This window comes from Homo sapiens, chromosome 15 (genome assembly GCF_000001405.40).
Source record: "Homo sapiens chromosome 15, GRCh38.p14 Primary Assembly".
NCBI lineage: Eukaryota > Metazoa > Chordata > Mammalia > Primates > Hominidae > Homo > Homo sapiens.
The window spans coordinates 52,176,384-52,179,436 of NC_000015.10; the positions used below are offsets into that span (position 1 = coordinate 52,176,384).

Genomic DNA, 3,053 nt, shown 5'->3' on the forward strand with positions numbered 1-3,053 from the left:
CTTCATACAGGGAAAAATGACAGCACTGTTGTTTGCACCTGGCAGGGCTCTAGCTTATACTTCCACAAGTAAAACTCATCAGCATCCTTTCCTCCCTTTCCCACCTGAGTGCCAAGGGACAAACACACTTAGGAAGGAGCTGGGCGAGTCTGGGCTGGGGTAAGGTAAGAGCGGCTGCAGGGTCAACTATGGGACCAAGACAAGCTCAGAAATCATCTCTCGCTCTTCCACCTTCAGCTGTAACTTCCATTAGGAGCTGGCAAGTGGCACGCAAGGTAGGCTCTCTGATAAGAGGGAAAGAGACATTTGTCAAGAACTCTTACCCCAGGTCACTTACCTCTCACACTTCATTTCCCTCCCTCAAGCTGTCTTGTTCTGCCACAAAACATGGCAGGCAGAGTGAGCCCAGTAAAGCAATCAGATCCATCCTCTCTCTCAAAACCCTCCAAGGGTTTCCCAACTCACTGGGAGTAAGAGCCCAAATCTTCACTGCACCCATGGGGTCCTGCATGAGCTCCCAGCATAACCTGCAGCTGGACTCTGCCCTGCATACTCCCCTCCAGACACACCTGCCTCCTCACTCTTCCTCAGATACATCAGATACACCAAACACACCCCCTCCTGGGGCCTCTGCCTAGCTCCTCCTTTTTTTTTTTTTTTTTTTTTTTTGAGACGGAGTCTCGCTCTGTCGCCCAGGCTGGAGTGCAGTGGCAAGATCTCGGCTCACTGCAACCTCCAACTCCCTGGTTTAAGCTATTCTCCTGCCTCAGCCTCCCAAGTAGCTGAGATTACAGGCACCTGCCACCATGCCCAACTAATTTTTGTATTTTTAGTAGAGACGGGGTTTCACCATGTTGGCCAGGATGGTCTCAATCTCCTGACCTCATGATCCACCCGCCTTGGCCTCCCAAAGTGCTGGGATTACAGGCGTGAGCCACCCTGTCGGTCCGAGACCCTGTCTCTTAAAAATAAAGATGAATAAAGAAAAGAATGGCTGAGTGCGGTGGCTCACACCTGTAATCCCAGTACTTTTGGAGGCTCAGGCGGGCAGATCACTTGAGGTCAGGAGTTCGAGACCAGCCTGGCCAACATGGTGAAGCCTACTAAAAATACAAAAATTACTTGGGTGTGGTGGCACATGCCTATAGTCCCAGCTACTTGGGAGGCTGAGGCAGGAGAAACACTTGAACCTGGGAGGTGGAGGTTGCAGTAAGCCAAGACTGTGCCATTGTACTCCAGCCTGGGTGACAGAGGGAGACTCCGTGTCAAAAAAAAAAAAAAAAGAAAAGAAAAGTAGAGAAATGAGAGAACCTGGCTGGGAGATCAGGAGACATGTCAAAGGGGAAGAGGTCAATACAGTGATAAGAACCTTCAAGAAGCAAAGGCTTTATGCGGGGTAGAAGAGAAGTGGTCTGGAAGCTGCAGGGGAATCAAGAGGGACACAACCACATGACTTCTGGTCTTTCCAGCTCACAAATTCTGACATATGCAGGTAGGGATAGACCCTTCCACTGTGGGTCTAAAATCTGGCCCTAGCTTTTGAGGGCACCACACTCTTGGCAGGACAAAAAAAAGTTTCTTCTTTTGGATTGACTACATTTGCCCCCTGAGGTTCCCTTTGAAAAGCTGCATCTCTGCTCTCTGTCTTAAGGCAACTTACAAATTCACAGAAAACCTGAAAATATCCAGGCATGCAGCCTGCACTATTGAATAAGTGAGTTTCTGGAGAACGCCCTCTGCATGAAGCTCAAAACGGGTTTGGCGAAAATAATCTGAAGTGAGCCTGAGCTGGCACTCTGATTGCCTGGGGGGAATCCGGGTCCCAACACTTAGCAGGGGACCTTCGGTAAGTCCTTTAATTCTTTGTGCCTCAGTTTCCTCATCTGTCAAATGGAGAAATTAGATGACCTATGAATACTTTTCACCATGTTGGCCAGGCTGGTCTCAAACTGGGAGAAGGATTTCTGGGAAAACTTTTGCTTTGCTTTCTTGATAGGGAGCAAAGAGAGATTGGTGTCCATATTCCCCCTTCTTCCTGCCTTGGATACAGAAGTGATGTTTGGAGCTGTGGCAATCATATTATAATCATGGGGCAAATGCCACTGCTCTAAGGTGTGGAGAAGAAAGGCAGAAGGAGCCTGGGTCCCTTGGTGGGGGGTGCATGGTGCAGCTGAACAACAGCAGGTGATCATCCACCTTTGCTCTTGTTATGTAAGAAAAGTAACTCTCAATTTGCATAACTACATTATTTGGGGTTTACAGTTAGTGATTGCTGGACAGGATTTCTAAGCTTAGAGTGCCTCCTATTTAAAGAAGACCCCTAGGAAAGCACAGCACACGCTAGATCCAGGTCATCCACTTCTCTTAAGTGATCTTCAGAGATCAAAAGGTAAAGGCCCTAGCACGAACCCCATTTTTCCATTCCACATAGAATGTAAAGGGTGGCATCGATTAGGAATGGCAGGAGAACAACGTCAAGGTGTGCAGGAGGGCACCGTGGGAGGTGCTCAGCAAAGGGGAGATGCCACCCTCAGAGCTCAAAAGTGAGCAGATACAACCACTTCCCCAAGCCTGGCCCCCAGCCCAAGCTCTGCTGAGGAGGAGCCCTCTGACAAAGTAAAGGAACGCTGTTTTGGCCAAGAGCCGCTGAACCTGGCTATTTAATCGCTCACTCATAAAAATCACAGAGCCAGTTCTGAATTACGGTGGTGGTGGTGAAGAATGCAAGTTTAAGATCGCTATGGCTTTTTTATGCCAATCCACCACATCGATCCAAAAGCTTTTTAAACAGCCTTAAACGAACTGAACGGTTGAATTTAGTGAGCTCCTCCGTTTCCCTTCTCTCTCCGTCATCCAGCTCCCCGCCCCAAGGATAGGGGAGAGGTTGGAAAAATGAGCTTTGAAATTGCAGTCTCATAAAAGCAAAACTGAGAAAAGATACAACAGTGATGGAGAAAGCCAGACGGGCATTAAAAAACAAAACAGGAGTCTCTCCTAGGCCGCGCCTACACGGGCTCGCCGCGCTCGCTCGTCACCACCGACACCCCACCCCC

The 3,053-nt window shown here is 48.9% G+C and overlaps 1 protein-coding gene across 3 annotated transcripts in view; it reads right to left on the reverse strand.

Moving 5' to 3' along the window:
* Positions 1-3,053, reverse strand: part of GNB5 (G protein subunit beta 5) — a 76,293-nt gene that overhangs the window by 61,284 nt on the left and 11,956 nt on the right. The gene's annotated exons all lie outside the window — the stretch shown is intronic.